Source organism: Homo sapiens, chromosome 2 (assembly GCF_000001405.40).
Source record: "Homo sapiens chromosome 2, GRCh38.p14 Primary Assembly".
In the NCBI taxonomy this organism is placed as follows: domain Eukaryota; kingdom Metazoa; phylum Chordata; class Mammalia; order Primates; family Hominidae; genus Homo; species Homo sapiens.
In genome coordinates, this window is record NC_000002.12 from 150,212,039 (window position 1) to 150,229,638 (window position 17,600).

Sequence of the window (17,600 nt, forward strand, 5' to 3'; positions counted from 1 at the left end):
TACAGGCAAGTACCCACCACATCCGGCTAATATTTTTTCTTATTTTTTGTAGAGCAGGTGTCTCTCTCGTTGCCCAGGCTAGTCTCAGACTCATGACCTCAAAGAGTCCTCCCACCTCTGCCTCTCAAAGTGCTGGAATTATAGATGTGAGCCACTGTGCTGGACCAGTGAAAGCTATTTTAAAATGTTTTTATAATTTTGTGCTTCTCTTTTAGTGGCTGCTATGGTCTGAATATTTGTGTACCCCCAGATTCATATGTTGAAATCTCCTCCCCCAATGTTACGATATTAGGAGAGCAGGCTTTGGGAAGGAAATTAAATCATGAAGGTGGAGCTCTTACGCATGGATTAGTCCCCTTGTAAAAGAAGCCCAAGGGAAATTTTTGCCCCTTCCTCCATGCGAGGACACAACAAGAAGATGAACCAGGAAACTGGACCTCACTAGAACCCAGCCATGCCTGACACTCTGGAATCTGGGACTTCCAGTGGGTGGAATGTGAGAAATAAATTTCTCTTGTTTATAAGCCACCCAGTCTGTGGTATTGTAGTTTAGTGGCCTGAACAGACTAAGACAAGGACCTAGAAAAGATTAAGATTCACAGCAAAGATCTTTTAAATATGTCTTTCCTTTGCTTAAGACCTTTCAGTAGCTTCTGCTCACTCACTGCATGAAGATCTAGTTTTCTAATGGCACCAAAACCCCACGTGACTGCCTTACTGGTGGAGCCTAGCCTGGGGCCCCTCTGCCCAGAAAGTTTTGCATCCAGCCGCTGACTTTCCTTCTGGGTCAGGGCAGAATCATGCTCCCTCCCACTGTGGGTTTCTGCACACGCCCTTCCCTCTGTTAGAAAAACTTCCTCACACCACACTTGCTTGATCATCCTATTCACATAGTCCACATCTTCACATCTGGACTCAAATCTCACTTTCTCAGGAAAAACTTGCTCTGTCACTAAGATTTGTGGAATGAATACATGAACACAAACATTTAAGAGCCTATTATAAGACAGGCATGTGCAATATGATACTTAATCCTTCTGTCCAGTAATCAGCCAGCTAAAGGCAGCTGCTGCTTCAAACGTGAGAACTATAATTTGCTCAATATTGTGCTGGAATGGTGCTGAATATGGGACCTCATATGCTTCTAGTAAGCAAAGAAGAATGTTTTCTATTTCTACAAAGAAAACAGGATTATCACACACTGTCTGCCTTGATTATATATGGTCTAGTATTATCTAGTAGAAGGTATGTTTTGTTTCTCCATACCTTGGTGAGGCATTAAATTGGCCTCACCGAGAAATAGTATTAATTTGAGTAGTGCAACAGAAGCTCCCTTGGAAAATCCAAGTAAGAGTTTCTCTGCCCATAAATGCTGATAGGAAAAGCAGTTAGTTCTTTTCTTTCTTTCCTGCTCAATGCTTGACCCTCTATTGAACTTAATAAAACATAATAATGCATATGAAAATGTTTTAATGTAAAAAGCACAAAATAATTGTACGGTGCTATTTTTATAAATAAATGCTTGATGAAGGACTTAAAATGATGCTTAAGGAATATCCAGAGATTTTTCTAAACTCTGTGTAGAGCAGGAAATTTGAATTTTTACAGAAAAGAATGACTATGATTCATTAAGAAAAACAACTAATTTAAGACCCACAACTTAGATTACATTCAGTGAAAATGGCTCCAAATTTAATGTGAAATTAATTTTTTTAAAGAATAACTTCTATAACATTCAGGAGAAGCCTGAATTTAAGACATCCCCCTTTCTCTCAGCTAGGCCATGACATTCAGTCTCTCCATTTTCATTGCATGGTATATATTTTACATCCATATCTTAATTGAACCTTTGTCAAGGACAGTCTTCTACCCAGAGGAGATGGCCATGCTCAACATCATGGCTTAGACTTGAAATCTGAAATTGCATGTATTCTTAGGATGCTAAACCATTTCGGGGTTTTATTTTAGCTCGTAGTCTTCTAAGGCATAACCACTAAGATGTGGTTTAAAGAAACATTGCACAAAGTTAAAAGAAAAACAAATTTAAAGATAAAATTTCAACAGAGTTCTTGGAATTTTGGAGATGTAGTAAACATTCAGAGCAAGGCTAAAAATTATACCATGTTTGTGAGATTTAGATGAATCTAAAACTGCAGGTTTTCTAGAAGTTTGCCTACAAACTCTAATGTGCTATATCTTTTCCTATAAACAAAGCAAGTAAAGCTTAAATTACAAATCCATGTAAAGTTTCTAGAATTTTTCTTTTAAGACAGCTTTTTGTTATTTCTTTTTCAGCCTGCTGTACTGCCACTGCCCAATATATAATATTTCAGGAAACATTGCTTTATGAAGGGCTCCATAACAGTTAATGAAGGTAAGTCTGTATGGCATGTTATTGTAATGAATTTTCTGGTGAAAATTAATTAGATGTGTGAATGTGTGAATGCTAACATTTATTTACATCCCAGTCTAAATGTTCAAAGAGGTGTCTGTTATGCACACAATTAGAAGCAATGATGCATTAAATTGGCCTCACCAAGAAATAGTATTAATTTTAATAGTGCAATGGATGCCCCTTGGAAAATCCAAGATAAGATTTTCTCTGCCCAGTTGCCTGCTTTTGAGACTCCTTGTCTGACTAAGTCACTTATTTACATAAAAGTTGGTGGGAAATTGAGGATGGAAGGGGAAAGTGCATTTCCTATTTCACATCATAAGGCTGGCTAATGTCTCATTAACCTATGGACTTGCTCCCAATTCCTTTTGATTTGCACTGTGCAAACAGTATCTAACAACTCCTTTTGCAAACAGTCAATGACCTTTTAAACCAGGGAGGGAATTCCTCACAGCTGGGAGCCCTCTGTTTCTGTGTTCTTTTTAGAAGTGTTACTTTCCTTAAACTATAAAGAAACAACAACAGTCCTTCCTCATTCCCCGGATTTCTCTTAGTTTCAGGTAAGTTCTTGGTAGACAGGAACCACACAACCCTAAGATGAGCAGTAGAGACTTCCTTGCTAGCTCAAGCACCATTCTAATATTCTGGGATTATTTTTAATTTACACTGGGAGTTCACTGGGCTGCCTTTTAGTCATATATTTAGGTTTGAATATTTTAGTATTCTAGTGCTTCCTTATGTCACACTATATATAAACTAGTAAGAATAATGACTACCATCTATTGAATCCTAACCATGTGTGAAGCACTGGGCTAGTATATTACATGGACTGTCTAATTTAATTGTCTCACAAATGCTATGCATGCATAGGCTTTATTTACATCTCCATTTCATGGGAGTGAAAAGTGGTGCTCAAAGGCTAAATAACTTAACAGTTGGTAAGTGTTCGAACTAACTGGGATTTGAACCAATGTTTGTTTGTCCAGTATGCCAATCAGCCAATGCTAAATGTTTAGGTGCAGTTTGCATTATAATCTTTAACCACATTGGCTGATTAAATAATAGTTCTTTTGTGATTTTCTATAATGAATATCTTATTGAATCCTCTAAATAAATTTCACGTATGTATAATACAAAAAATCCCAAGAGATATTGAATAATAAAAATATTGGCCGGGCGCGGTGGCTCACGCCTGTAATCCCAGCACTTTGGGAGGCCGAGACAGGTGGATCACGAGGCCAGGAGATAGAGACCTTCCTGGCTAACATGGTGAAACCTGTCTTTACTAAAAATACAAAATAATTAGCTGAGCGTGGTGGCGGGCTCCTGTAGTCCCAGCTACTCGGGAGGCTGAGGCAGGAGAATGGCGTGAACCTGGGAGGCGGAGCTTGCAGTGAGCCGAGATCGTGCCACTGCACTCCAGCCTGGGCGAGAGAGTGAGACTCCATCTCAAAAAAAAAAAAAAAAAACAAAAAACACCACAATTACATATTGTGTTGCACACAGGAAATAAAGATTGTGATAGTTTGCAGCCTTATAAGTTTGCAAACTCCCTCTAAATTAAAAAAAACACTAAATTATACATTTTGTGTAAAGTAATTGCTCATGTAACGAGCCCCCCACGCCATGCTTAACCCAAATGTCCTATTCTCCAGAACTGACAGCTTCACAGAAAGAAAGACAGCAGTTAATGAACTCAATAACAAGGCTGAGTTAGAGTATGTACTAGTCTAAGAGAAACTTCCGAGTCAAGTAACATATTTCAGTAAATAAAAAATGATTTCAGACAGCTCCAAATTCTAGATAAAACTGTTTTGCCTCAGAAAAACATTTCTGGAAGAAAAATGGCAAATTTCATCATCCCTAAAAGTGTGAACACAGTCAACACTTACAGCCTACACCTACCTGAACTTTAGTTCTTGTAAAGCCAGTGAGAATTTGACATCACCTCAGGGCAATGAGGATGAAACTCTATTATGAATGTGTAGGACTAACTGAGGACCTCATCACCACATTTCTGTCTAGTCTGTTATCCACAGGACTGAAGAATTTGATCAGTATTCTCCTCAATTTCCCGTATAGGAAAAAGACAGAGAAAGGATAAGAAACATGTGAATTTGTATTCTGAAAGCAGAATAGAAAGGAAAAGTACATCTTATTAAGACCTTGGCAAGTGGCAAGTACTATAACGTTGAGGTCAAATCTTCCTTGTTTACAAATGTAATTCTATGGCAAAGCTATTATAAACTGTCTTATGGTTTCAACCTCATGTAGGTTAATTTTACATCAACACACATAAAATTTAAAGCTAAAGGAAAATTGCCAAATAATTCCAGGATCTAACTTTATTTGTCCAGTAAATATTGTTAATCACCTACGGCTAAGCATTGCGGTGGGATTGGAGGTGGGGAAGTAAGTAAAATAAGTAAAACCTTCTCTCACTTTAATTGCATCTGTGAGATTTTAAAATTGTAACATATTCTCTGTGCTAGTTTTTTAAACAATTCTGATTCTACAAAAAAAATTTCATTGGGATCATTCCAAAACATATTTGTCAAGGTGGTCTGTCACTGTGAGGGTTTATTCTAACTTTTCACTTCAATTTAAAAAAATGATAAACCTTATTAACCATAGAGTGACTGGATTATATCAAGATCTATAGTGTAGTTCAAATGTTGCCTCCTCACCAAAGCCTTTCTTGACTTCCTCAAGTGGATGTAATATACTCTTTTTTTCTGAACTTCCTTGTCATTTTTTTAAATTTTCAGATAATCATTGATTTAGAAACAGTTAAGATATAACTGTAAGATATAATACAGAGATTCTGTGTACCCTTTACTCAGTTTACCTCAATAGTGACATCTTGCTTAGCTGTAGCATAACATTACAATCAAGAAGTTGACACTGAGACAATCCATCAACTTAAGATTTCACCAGTTTTGAAAGCATGCAATTATATATGTATGTGTGTAATTAGTTCTATGTAATTTTATTACATATGTAGATTCATGTGACTACCACAGTCAAGATACAGATAGTTTGTTCACAAGACTACATCATGCTATTGACAGCCACGTAGCTCCCTCCCTACCCCCATCCCCAGTCTCTAATCCCTGGCAGCCACTAACCTGCTTTCCATCTTCATAATTTTTATTGTTTCAAGAATGATATATAAACGTGTTATATAATATGTAACTTTTCCAGTTGGCTTTTTCACTCAGCATAATTCCCATGAGGTCTATCCAAGTTGTTGTGTGTGTCACTAGTTCATTCTTTTTTATTACTGAGTAGTATTCCATGGTGTGGATGTACCACAGTTTGTTTAACTGTATACCCATTGAAGGGCATTTGGATTGTTCTCAGGTTTTGGCTATTACAAATAAAGCTCTATGAAGATTTGTGTGTAAAAAAAAAATGTATGATATTCCCAAATCTACATCTTGGAAGAAACATGCTGATACAAATTTGTAGATATAAAGGAGTTATAAGCCACTGGTAAAATCAAATCCGTAAACTCCTAGGATGAGGGAGAACTCACAGATCATCCAGTTCATTCCTCACACACAGACATAATATGTTAATATTGTATACATTATTGTCATGTGTCTGCTTGAAAATTGTCACTTTTCCTTTTGACTCCCAAACTTGAAATGATTCTGTTTCAAGTCTCTCATCTACCTCCAATGAATCTGAAAAAAAAAAAAAAAAAGGGATTGCAATATTCCCCACCTGCAAAATAACCTTTGAAAGCAGTATGAAGAAAAGCAATCAGAAATGAGTTGGGCAAATTGGAATTCTGTAATAATTGTGGGTAGTGGAGAGTTCAAGTTAGGATATCAGATTGATTCCTAGTTTCTTAACTCCCTTGACTGGTGGTTTCCAAGGTTAGCTGGAGGTCTGGTTAAAAAGTCATCTCTGGCCCCACCCTCAGAGTCTGTGATTGAGTAGGTCTGGGTGGAGCCTGAGAACTTACAATTCTATCAAATGTCTAGGTGATGCCAGTGATATTAGGGTGGGGAATGAGGCACTTTGAGAACTTCTGCCATAGATCACTAGATAATTTATTTTAACTAGCTGAGCTTCAGCTTCCACATCTCCAAAAGGGAATGCCGTTACCTTTACAGTCTTACTATGAAGACAAATACCTTAGCACACAATTCCTCCTACATAGTAGATGCTGAAGAAAATGTTTATTTCCACCCCGTATCAACTTACAATGCTGAAATATTTGGGAACTCCTAAATAATCCATATACAATAAAAATATAAGTGGGGATAAGTTTGAATGTGTTATATGTTTGCTTGCTGTTTTTTGTTTGATCAGTGTGATTTGATTATTCCTAAAGTTTCCATTCTTCTAAAAAATAATCTTGATTGCTTTTTATTAATTTTTTCTATCCTTCACTATAAAAATCCAATATCAAACTCATGAAAAACAAGATCTCTATTTTAGGATCCTGAATATCCACTATCTACTAATAGGCTATAATTTTTTGATTTAAAGGTATCTTAGAGATTATCTAGCCAAAACTGCCCATTTTATAGATGAGAAAACTTACCCAAGGTCATAACGCCATGTAGTAGTGACTAGACCTCAGGTCACTCAGGCCACTAGGCTTGACCTGAGTGACCTGAATCTGGTCACTTCCTGAAAAGGACTTCGCAACATTTTTGTTTATTATTGAACAATATTTCTATTAAATAATAAGTTGGCAGGAAGGGGAAGCAGGCAGGATCAGGGCCTGGCCTCAGTGTGCCTGAGTCCCAGTGATTATGTCTGGCTTCTGTAGGAGCCTGCCCCATGGGAGGTGGAGCCGGCAGCTTTAATCACTAGAGGTGTTGGGTTAGAGTTGGGTAGGGGGCCCAACCTGGTACTAGGGGATGACTGGGAGAGCATTAGAGGACCTGGATGTGGGACAACATTCACTTCCACCAGGGCAGGGGGCCTTGGTTGGCCTCCTGGGGCAGGTGCTTGGGTGAAGACTCCTCTTTGGACTCCTGCATCACCACATCTTCTGCAGGTGCCTGTTTGGCCTCTTGTCAACCATTCTGCCTTCCCTCCAGGCTTCAGGAAATGATGCTCTAGTATCCACTGTCTAGAGTGCACAGCCCCCAGCAGTGGGAGCAGATGGGGGAGGTGGCGGGCAGCAGGGCCATCTCCACTGGCTCAAATCAGCAATCTCTTCTTAACTTCAGGAAAAAGAATACTGTTGCTTATCCTTGCCTTTATTACTTTAACTTTGGGGAAGAAAGTACAGTGTCTCTTTAATAAATAATACTGTGAATTTTTCTGCAAACACTTTTGCTGTAGAAAAAACTGTGTTCTTGTCACACAACCAGGAAAGATTAGGCTTGCACACACTTTGAAGGGTGAGGGGGAATGGAATTAATTGAGCGAAAAGGAAAAAAACTCAGCAAAGCAAGAGGGGTTCCAGTTAGCAGGCCCCCATCTCACAGATTGAACCCCAGGTCACCACCCAAGAACAGGAGAGACCAGGCTCCTCCCCTCTGCAAATGGTGTGAACTTCCTGAGGCCCCACCCCGTCCTCCCAGTGTGCAGGTGGGCACTATTCAGAAAGAATCAGTCGGGAAAGGGCAGGCTTCATCTGGAAGGGGCAGTCCAGTTTTTCAGCCTTCAGGCTGTTTTAGGCTTGAAGTAGGGGGTTTTGCAAGGGAGGGGGACCCTTGGCTGCCTCCTGTCTCTATCTCTTCTACTTTGATGGTATAAAGCTGTCTTTGAAGTAAAGATTCTTCTAAGGACTGGAGATTTCAGGGATTCCCAGCAGCACTCCTGTGATAAGTTTTCTCATAAAACACCCACCTTGTTATCTTGTCTCTTCTTGTACCTCTGGTGATTACCAGTTATTACGGCACAGAAAGAAAATGGGAGATAGGAATCTCAGATATCAGTAGGTGGGAAATATCCTTTAATGTTTTTACTCGCCCATTTTCTGGGTTGTTATTTAAACTATTTTAATCTGTAATTAAAGCCATCCATGAATATAGCAAGGTTCAGTCTGGAAATGATCCCTACTACCATCGATGTCCCTAAGGTTCTTGGCATCTGGGGGAGGATATAATAAAACAAATGGGAAGAAAAACAAAAGACTATTTAATAGTGATAGTCTATGCTGGTGATTTTGAACCACTGAGATTCCCAAACTGAGTAAGAGAAAAAAACTAAAGGGACTGTTACGCACTGAATATTTATGCCTCCTCTCTCCAAATTCATATGGTGAAATCCTAACTCCTAATGTGATGGTACTTGGAGATGGGGCCTTTGGGAGATAATTAGGGTTAGATTAGGCAATGAGGCTGGGACCCTTGTGCTGTGATTAATGCCCTTATAAAGAGGAGGTGACATGGAAATCCCTCTCTGCTCTCTAACATCTGAGAATACAGTGAGAAGATGGCCATCTGCAAACCAAAAAAAGGACCTTTGCCAGATGCCAGGTCTGTCAATACCTTGGCCTTGGACTTGCCATCTTCCCCAAACTGTGTCAAACAATCGTTGTTGTTTATATCATCCAGTATACATTTTTGTTATAGTAACTGACACTGACTAAGACAGCAACTGAAGTTAAGAAGCTTGGAGAAAATAAGTCTGAAAACTCACTTTTTTTCACACTAACTGCAGAGGAAACATAGGAAAAAAATTGTATATATTGCAAGATGAAAGGTATATTTAGCTATACAGAAGAGCCTTATAAAAGCAAAGAAATTGTTATAAAAGTCATGAGAAAGTTGCTCTTGACAGAGGAAAGAGCCTGTGGAAGTACACACACAGGAGAGACGGGGCCTCTTAGGTGTCACCACATTCCATTTCTTATCCTGGATGGGTTTGGGTGTTTGTCTTAGAACTATTGGTAAATGATACAAGTGCTTTTATGTACTTTTCTGTATGTATATTTCCTAATATTTTTAGAGCCTTGTAACAGAGATTAAATGTCTGTTAGATGTTTGGAATTTCTGTCGGAAATCTTGAAGAATTTGATTGGAGTATGTTATTAGTAATACAGATAAAATAATATTTCCTGCAATAGCATATTGCTGCCATTTGTATGGCCCTTGATTTCTCACGTTGCTTTTTCCCGAAAGGCTGAATTTATTAGGTGCTCTTTTTAATATCTTACCATTATCATTTATTAGATTTTAGTCATTTATTATGTGCCTAGGTTTTCAGGAACAACAATAAGAAGTAAACCAAAAGTGTTTACTGATTTTATTTTGAAAATAAAATAATGAAAAGTGACACTTAGGCTAAAAAGAAGTTTTAAAATTTAGGTTTACACCAACTGAAAAACATGAAGAAGAAAAGGAAGGAAGAAAGAGATGGTAGAAAGAAAGGAAAGATGAATGGAAAAGAAAAACTACTACTTGTGGAATGCTCAGTGTATGCTAGATGTCTTCATTGGTAGCATTGCATTTACTTCTCAAGGATCAGGAGAGGCCATTTCCTTTTTACAAAGGGGAAAAAAAAACTCCAAGAGGAGAATTTCTTGTACCCCTTCAGTTCGGTGGCATGCAATCTCTAATGTTAGCATTTATTAGGAAGGGGGAAAAAGGCGATGGAGTCCAGGTCTGGTGGTATTGACAACCTTCCAATTAAAGTGGCCTTTGAAGAAGTTTCAGTTGCTTCCTGTCATTTCATTAGAGACAAGGATTGGGAACTCCATAAGGTTTCCACACTTGCACTTTTAAAACCAAAGGGGCTTACATTAATACAATACATGTGAATAGATCTTTTCTTCAAAATCTGACATGTCACCTGGCTCCACAGAGAAGACAAACTCACACCTTATTGGGGGATGGTGGAATAGACTTTTGAAATTAGGAGAAATTGTATGATGTGTCATTAAATGCAATTTCTTTTTAAGAATTCTCTCATTGGTAATTATTCTTATTATGTAGGTGGACAGTCTCTTAATATAGATAAAGACCTTTGCAGCTGCTCTCATCGTCGGCCTCATGTTTAATATGCACTTTGTAATTAGTGTGGATGTAAAGCCCCACATTTGCAGTCAGCCTCCCTTTCTGTCAGATCGGTTTTTAATCTGGGCTATGTTCAGCTGCGAAAGGCTGATAAGCATTTCTGAAATCTCTGTACATGACAAACAGCACTTTAATCTCGTCTTTCAATTTCCAGTGCACTCATTACACAAATTCAGCTCAAAGAACCTTGATGCATGAAAATTAGCCTTCCTGGATGTGGTACAATTTCTTTTAACCTTTTCTAAAATACTCTGATCCTCCAGGCCATTCGGCCCAGGAAAATGTAGGCAGTGGCTTACTTGTAAAATGGGGAAAATGTATCCCCAAGGCCCATGAATGCTAAAGTTGAGCTAAATGTGAGCTATTTGTTTTAATTGAGGATGCGGGAAATGATTTCTTCAATTTTAACCTAATTTTCAGAGAATAAACATCATTACATAGAGATAAATTATATTTCCACGTAATACTTTCATATAAGGAACTGTCAACTAGCCCAGCTGCCTGATGGAGCTTGCTCATTTAAACCCCAAGCCAATTAGCACCAATTTTCAATCAGTTATGTAAGTATTAACCTGTTCCTCTCTGTATGTAATCTGTCAGTGAGCTGGCTTGGAGGAGATGAAATTCTTAAAGTGTCAAATTTCTTTCCTTAATATGTGCTTAGGTCTTTATTTGCGTTACACCCTAAGCTCTGATTTCAAGCTTTCAAAGATAAAAATGTGTGAAATAGCTGCTATGCCTTGCTAGTCTCTAGAGATGGGTGGGGACTGGGGAGGGATATGTATGACCTGCTGAAAGATTCTCCAGTGGAAAAACTGAGCCTATCCTACAGGGAAGCAGGAATCAATTTTATCTTTCATTTGGCCGCACGTCCCACGTAATATTCCTTGAACCCAAATCACGTTGAATTGAGGACAAAAGATTCCTAATATATTTAACCCTGTTGGGATTGTTAAAAATAAAAAGAGCATCTGAAATTATCAGGCAAAAAAGACAGATTATTGTATGTAAATAAACGCTTTAATAGAAGCTATAAACGTTTTTGGTGAGAAAGTTTTCGGAAATGACTGAAGGGCTTTTCTCTAAGTTTGAAGAGGAATAACTTGTCGCCCCACAAGCCCCTGCCTCACCCAAGCACAATACAAAGGCTACAGCTGAGCTCAGATCTTCAGGCCTTGGTTTAGAGATTTGCTTCCCCACATTTCGGCCATAACCTCTTCAACTATCCGTAGGCCAGGAGAAGTTTGGGAAAATAACCATGTTTTATGTTTAGGCAAGGTATTAAGCAAATCAAATTCAAGGTGTCGCATAAAGACAAAAGAATAATATTTATTCAATGACTTTTGTTGCCAGACCTTTCATTGAGATCGACCCAGGGGATCTGTAAAACCCTTAATGAAGAATACAGCTTCTTTAATAGGAAGAAATATCTGTTCTCCTGAATACAACACAGGGATTTAAGAATGAAAAATGGATAAAATGTGTGTATTCTCTTTATTTTTAGGAATACAGAGTCTGAGGCCTCACCATTTATTCACAAATAAGCCTAGTCTTCAGACTTTCTTGACGCAGAATTCTAAGCCTGGGACAACAGGCAAGGGCAGGAGAGAACTTTGGAGGAGGCTGGTTTGATGACACCACAGTAATTTTCTGTTTTCAAACCTTGTTGAGCTTTGTTCTTTTAGAGAACTGTCTTAAGGACTCCACCCAAAGGCAAGTTGTAAGAGACAGGTTTCCAGGGGGCTAGCTAAGTGAACAATTGCATTTAAATTACAATATCTGTCACATTTGTCTACCCGTGTATGCAGAACTCTAATAAGGGAGGGGAGTAGATTTCATTTCTATAATGTCACTGGAGGCAAACAATAGAATTTTTCACATGGTAGAATTTACTTTTTGTAATTGTAAAATTCTCTTTTAGTAATTCTAATGCTGGAGGCAACTGCTTAAGAAAAGGCCTGAGCTGCCTCCCAGAGTATATCACATCTCTGAGGACTCCCAACCTGAAAACAAGAAAGCAAGCACAAATTCCTGGGGATCCAGTCTTCTTCACCAAAGAACTTCCAATGATTTGGCACTGGCATTGGCATTATGCCAATTGTATGGACATGTCAGTCCACCATGTTTACCCCACAGTCCAGACCAAAGCCATCTGCTAAGGCTGCCTTACCAACCCGTCAGTAGGTCCACCCTTGAGGACTCCAAAATAAGCCAGAGGTCACTCAAGTGAGCACCCTAGACCGCGATAGTTTGTTGATGTGCTGTGAGAAGTGGCCTGTAGGTTCTGCTCTCAGGTGATGGATACCACTCCCATGTGGTGTGGTTAACAACTTACAGGTTGGACTATCATCTGTTTCATTCAGTCATCCATCTATTTAAGTAACATTGCTGAGTAGTATTCATATGTCTAGCACTGCCCTTCAGTGAGTGGAGAGTAGGGGGTGTATGCGTATGCAATGGTGTTTATCTCCATGTTAACTTCTTCCAAGGAAGATCTACTCAAAGCTCAAAAGGTCAAGGAAGAATTTGAAGAGTGATAGTGTCTCTAGAAAGACCACATCTTTCAGCCCTAGAACACTGTATCGTCTATCATTTTTGTACTTTATTTATTATGTCTCAGCTGTTTTTAATCTGCTTGGAAAAAGGTGATGAATCTTTTTCCAAGTAAATCCAGTGGAGCTCTCTCGGACTCTTCAAGCCACTTTCATGTGTTAATTTAACAATGCTGTACTGAAATAGAGATACACAGATGAAGAAGGCAGATGTCTGTCCCTCAAGGACCTCTGAGTTTAGGGAGATAAATGCAAACATAAGCATTTAATTATGATACAACCAACATGTATGTCCTAACACAGCATTTCTCAAAATGGATTCCATAGACTTTCCAGTCTTTTCCCTAAGGTGTGTGAATCAATCTGGGCCAGAGAGATCCAACTGTACTTAAATCTCAGTTCCACTGTTACTGGTGGAAGAGATCTGAGTTACCCTGAGTTACCCCAGTGTATCCTTTGAGGTCCATAGCAACTTCAGTCCTTGTCTCCTCAGAAGAAAGAATTTGACTGAGAGGCGTAAGGTAGAAAAAGAGACTGAGGCAAGTTTCTGAGGAGGAGTGGAAGTTTATTTAAAAAGGCTTTAGAAAAGGAAAGAAAGGAAAATTCATTGGGAACAGGTACCCGAAAGTCCAAGAGAGAGGAGAAGACAGCAAAAAAAAAAGGAGGTCTTTAAACTTGACCTTTGGATTTTATAGGTTCACCTCTTTCCCATGATTCTTCCCTTAGGGTGGGCTTCCTGCATGCACCGTGCTTTCCTTACCCTTTGGAAGTGAGCACACGCTGTGTGTTTAGGTAATTAAACCTATGCCCTTCTGAGGCTTTTTTTCATTCTTTTGGTGGTGTGTGCTCCCGGAACATCAGACTTCGCCATTTTGTCTCTTAATATGCATGCCCAAGAAGCTGCTTCTCCCTGGGGCCTGCATTCAATTAACGCTTTTAATGTTAAAAGGTGTGGACCATCAGGAGACAGTCCCTCCCTGGCTGCCAAATTATCATTTTTAGAGAGGCAATGCGATAATTGCCAAACCATCACCCAACATTTCTAGTGGGTAGGGGGAGCACTCTCTCCTGCCTGCTCATGCCTGTCTACCTCTAACACCACTACTCACTGCTCACAGCATTACAGGCAGCATACTTTAGTTCCTGAGTCTTAGTGTTCTCCTTGTAAAATAAGGACGCTACTTGCTACTTTTGTTGTGGAAATTAAATGGTAAGGCAACATGTAATGAATTGATGAATTACATTTCTTAGAGTGTGCAGAGTGCCTTATGTGTCTTACTTCAGCCATACAGTATTAGAATTGCCACTAGATATGGAACAAAAAAAGCACAGGTATATAAATGTGTTAAAATGTATGGGAGGCCATTGTTTTGGAGTAGCCTCCTGCACTACATCCTTACAGATCAGACAAAACCAGAATCTAGTCACTTGTGCTAAGTGCCAAGTAATCAAACTAAACTTTGAAACAGGCCAACTTCCCAAAAACAAGAGATTCGCAGTAACTAATCAGATGGGTCCTAGTTTTCCTGAGACAGTATGACAAGGAAGTTCTATTTCAACCCATTCCTTTATTTTAATGCCATAAGAAAAGTAACTTTGAAATGACCAATCCCTGTCCCTTGTTGCTGCTTCCTTCAGCCCTTTTCTGCCTATAAAACTTCCTCTGCTCAGCTCATTGGAGTATTCATTCGATTTTATGGAATAAGGTATTGCCCAATTTCAGAATCACAAATAAAATTAACTTCTTAAACAAAATTTGTTATAATTTTGTCTTTTGACAAAAGTAAATACACTGATAGCTTACTTATGACAAAAGAGAGAGAGAGCTACTGTATACCACTGACAGAATACACCTATTATTAATTTATTCTCCTCTTTTCTTAAAAATGCCAACTTCCTGCTTAGGGATTCTTTCCATACCAATCCAAATTCAACACATTTCCCTCTAAATTTAAACAGTTCAAGCTGGAACTGTTTTCCAAGCCCTTGGATGAATGACCCAAACTTCTGTTTTCAACAGAAGACTGCTTTTAAAAGTAAACATTGAATTGAGACTATCTCTCCATTAGTACAAGTTTTAATAAAAATGTAAAGTGGTTTGATTTCAGATATTTTGCATCTGCTTTGGAGGCAAAGATTTGAATTTCATGATAAAATAAAAAAGATTTTGACATTTCATGATAAATATCAGCTCTTTTCAAATATATTATTCTGTCCTGGAATAATGGCATTTCATTCAACATCATTTCCTTATAACATTGATGAGAAAAGAAATCCATTGCCAGCTGCGACCACTCCCTGTGGAGTTTGCACATTCTCCATATGTCTGCGTGGGCTTTCTCCAGGTAGTCCAGTCTCCCCCGTATCCCACAGATGTGCACCGTAAGTGAATTGGCATGTCTCCATGAAAGCAGACTGATTGAGTGTGGGCGTGAGTGTCAATGTGCCCTGCAATGGGATAGTGTCCTGTCCGGGGCTGGTTCCCGCTTGGAGCCCTAAACTGCTGAGATAGGTTCTGGCTACCTGTGATCCTAAACTAGAATAAGCAGGTCAATAATTATCATTCTTGCTTTTATTAATTGTTCTTAGTCCTTAAATATTTGTATAGCCCACATTTATTTCAGTGGTTAATCTGAGAAGTGTTTGGGGTCTTTATGAAGTGTGGTGATGTTTTCGTGATCAGAAATATGCCATAGAAGCTCAACTCTTGTTTATATCAATTTGCCTGTGGTCGAATTGGTTTTGTTCTAAGTTGTTTTGCTTACAGTCAGTTTCGTAGAAGCTATGGACAACACTGAGTGAGGACTTGCTGTGATATAAACAGGTTGCCTTTGAAGAACAAGTAAAGGAAAAGGAAAGGAAAATCAAATTGGAGCATAATTCTGACTCTTGAGGTTGGCCCTAAGTTCAGATACACCTGTCAGGTAACCAGGGGAGGTATGGCTACTCTACCAAAAGAGCCGTACTGCTGCCAACATTCAGCTCTAGAATATATGGGCACCACTTTTCAAGAGCAATAAACAGTACATAAAAATACCACACATACATATCATTTCAATGCCTGGTGGATGCTTCGGTGTGCAGAACAGAAAAAGCAGGAGGTTGTATTAAATTAAAATTAACTTGAATTAAACAAATATTCCATATTTCCTCAATCCTAACATGCCCTTGATTTTAAAACATGCTAAATATTTGGTGGCAGCATTTCTTGGAAAAAACATACATTTCAACATGAATATAAACAGAGTATTTCTAGTAACAAATCTAACATAGATTTCTCCACACAATTGCATGCCACTTTAATCTTTACTATTACAATTAACCTTGATCCCAATATTTCTTCACCTTCAGGGTCTGTGTTTCTAAGTCACTTTTCACTATTGGCAGCCCTGGTTAGCATCATGCAGCAACTAAATACTATGCTGAATGAGCCTTGGAAAATCTGTACCCTTCCCTGAGATTTGAATGCATAATCAGAGGCTCTTGCCCAGATGTTTCAGTACCATAGCCCCAACTACTTCATTCCCATTTATTTTCAACCTTAGTTTATTCTCTACTTCTCTGCCATGTAAAGAGTTTAGCTCTTAATTGGGTAGTATCTTGTAGAGTTCTTAATGTTTTCATGAGATAACACATATAAAAATGCTTTCAAAACTCTAAAATGCTTTATAATATCCATTCTTCTTATTTAAATGTGTACTCTTCTCCATCACCCTCTCATCCTCCAAATTGAATTCTGCCTCAGAGCAGACTGTTGCCTGCCTACTTTATGTCCTGCATAGCATTAGAAGACCTCTAGTCCACTTAACATGGGCTTGGCATATATTTTGTTACTAAAGCAAAGGGCTTAACAGTAAACTGATTAACAGGTTGGCATTTTTATTTTAAAAGTGGGTGGTGTAAATGTGCGGGGGAATTAGCTCTGGCAGCTTAGTTGCTTGTTCCCACACCCGATTTGACTTAGTTTATCCATATAAAAGAGAAGAAGAAATATAAAATAACCACCATTTCAGGATTGTGAGGATTTGTTCAAATCATCAGGCATAACACATCCTAGCTTGGCTCTGCAATCTGTGTGGGCTTTGCTGTGGCACTCACATAAGAGAACCATATGAGTTTATTCTGCAAAATCTTTATAAGATAGAGTCCTCACCCACATTTCCTGTGAGTGTTTCTGTTTTCTGTCTCTTGCTTGCAATTAAAAACTGATTCTTAGAAAATTGCAGGATTAGTCAGCAGTATTGACAGAAGGAAAAGATAAACACTGAAAGAAAAACCTACAAGAGACGTGTCTCAACATAATGGGGATAAATTGCTCCAATTTTATCTCTGAAAACTGGTTCAAGAAACATTGGAAATCCATCCTTCACCTTCTAAAATTCTTTGATTCTCCTGGAAACAATAAACACCTTGAAAAGTCTGTCTTCAGTTCAACAGTTCCATAGGAGAAGCTGTCTAGTTTTTAAAAGAAAAAAAGAAAGAAAGAAAATATATATTCTCCATCCCTATAAAACAACCACAGATAATTTTATGTTTATGTTTCATAAGGGACTGAACAAGTTTAAGCAAAGCATGACTCTTTCTGTTTACTGCCACTATTTTCCTACAGTCATCTTTGATAGGTTGTAGGTATTTTCATATGAATCCTCTCCGAGTATCAAA

General features: G+C 38.5%; 1 long non-coding RNA gene across 2 annotated transcripts in view; it reads left to right on the forward strand.

The window, feature by feature from the left end:
* LINC01818 (long intergenic non-protein coding RNA 1818) overlaps window positions 1-17,600 on the forward strand; it is a 186,703-nt gene that overhangs the window by 42,550 nt on the left and 126,553 nt on the right. For both annotated transcript variants that reach the window (NR_187171.1, NR_187172.1), the window contains exon 2: window positions 2,296-2,374. This is a non-coding gene — a long non-coding RNA (long intergenic non-protein coding RNA 1818). The remainder of the gene's footprint in view (window positions 1-2,295; window positions 2,375-17,600) is intronic.